Source organism: Homo sapiens, chromosome 6, assembly GCF_000001405.40.
Source record: "Homo sapiens chromosome 6, GRCh38.p14 Primary Assembly".
In the NCBI taxonomy this organism is placed as follows: Eukaryota; Metazoa; Chordata; class Mammalia; order Primates; family Hominidae; genus Homo; species Homo sapiens.
The window spans coordinates 44,455,603-44,456,798 of record NC_000006.12 but is presented as its reverse complement, the minus strand read 5'-3'; the positions used below and the strand labels follow the sequence as shown (position 1 = coordinate 44,456,798).

The window sequence follows — 1,196 nt, the reverse complement described above, 5'->3', positions numbered from 1 at the left end:
CCTACACGCTCAGTCTGTTTTCGGGAGGCTTAAATCCCAGGTCGAATGAACCTCTGTTTTTCAAAGAGCATTGGTTTAGTTTAGGTTTTTCCCTGCACTTATTTGCTATGGTTTTGTCATCAAGCAAAAGCATTGCTTTTGTTTCATAATCTGCTAGGGTTTTTAAGACCCGGTATTGTTTTGGAATTCATCTAGTTCAAAATAAATTTTTTTTTAAAAAAGCAAGTTTGCTTAAAAATAGTGATGACAGTTGAGAATGAACATGTTCTGCTTCTCGGATTTGAAGGTCAAAAAATCTTAACCCAGTTCTTGGTCCCTCGGTTAAAAGCCATTCCTCTGTTTAACCACCAGATGGCACTGGAGCCGCGGTGGGCTGGGCCAGCTGGCTCCAGAGTTTAGGACCACACCCCAAGAGGGCCTGGACAGAGAGGAGATGGGTGGAATTTGGAAGAGATGTCCCACCACTTCCTTAACCAACCATACAGGCATGTCACTTTTATTTTATTTTATTTTATTTTATTTTATTTTATTTTATTTTATTTTATTTTATTTTATTTTATTTTATTTTATTTATTTTATTTTATTTTATTTAAGACAGGGTCTTGCACTGCCAGTGATCTCAGCTCACTGCAACCTCCGCCTCCCAGGTTCAAGTAATTCTCCTGCCTCAGCCTCCTGAGTAGCTGGGACTTCAGGCGTGTGCCACCACACCCATCTAATTTTTGTATTTTGAGTAGAGACAGGGTTTCCCCACGTTGGCCAGGCTGATCTGGAACTCCTCGCCTCAAGTGACCTGCCCACTTCAGCCTCCCACCACGCCCAGCCAGCATGTCACTTTAGAACCGATTTTTATTAAAGACAAGAACAAATATTAATAATTGATTACCATCGAAGCAATAGTGGGAAAAAACCCCAAATATGTGATTTAGAAAATCCCAGTCTGTGGCTCACACAAGTCTGCATGTCATGATTCTCTTTAGTTCCACCTTCTTGTTCCATCTCACCCCCAGAAAATGACACCTTCTACAGAAGAAGCTGGAAAAAAAAATCCCTCTAGTTTACTGCCTGTCCCATCTGCATGCTTACCACTAAGATCCTGCCATCCCTGGGAGCTCAGTTCTCCAAGGCTCAATTCCCAAGGTGTAATCCCTGAAGCATTTAGTAACTGTTCATCCACATGGGCTCCTCCTAACTCA

General features: G+C 41.7%; 1 annotated feature.

The window, feature by feature from the left end:
* Positions 260-369: a silencer, noted in NCBI's record as "silent region_17264". NCBI's record gives its function as "represses an Ori minimal core promoter by ATAC-STARR-seq in GM12878 lymphoblastoid cells {active_cell/tissue: GM12878}" and the evidence as "EXISTENCE:reporter gene assay evidence [ECO:0000049][PMID:35858748]".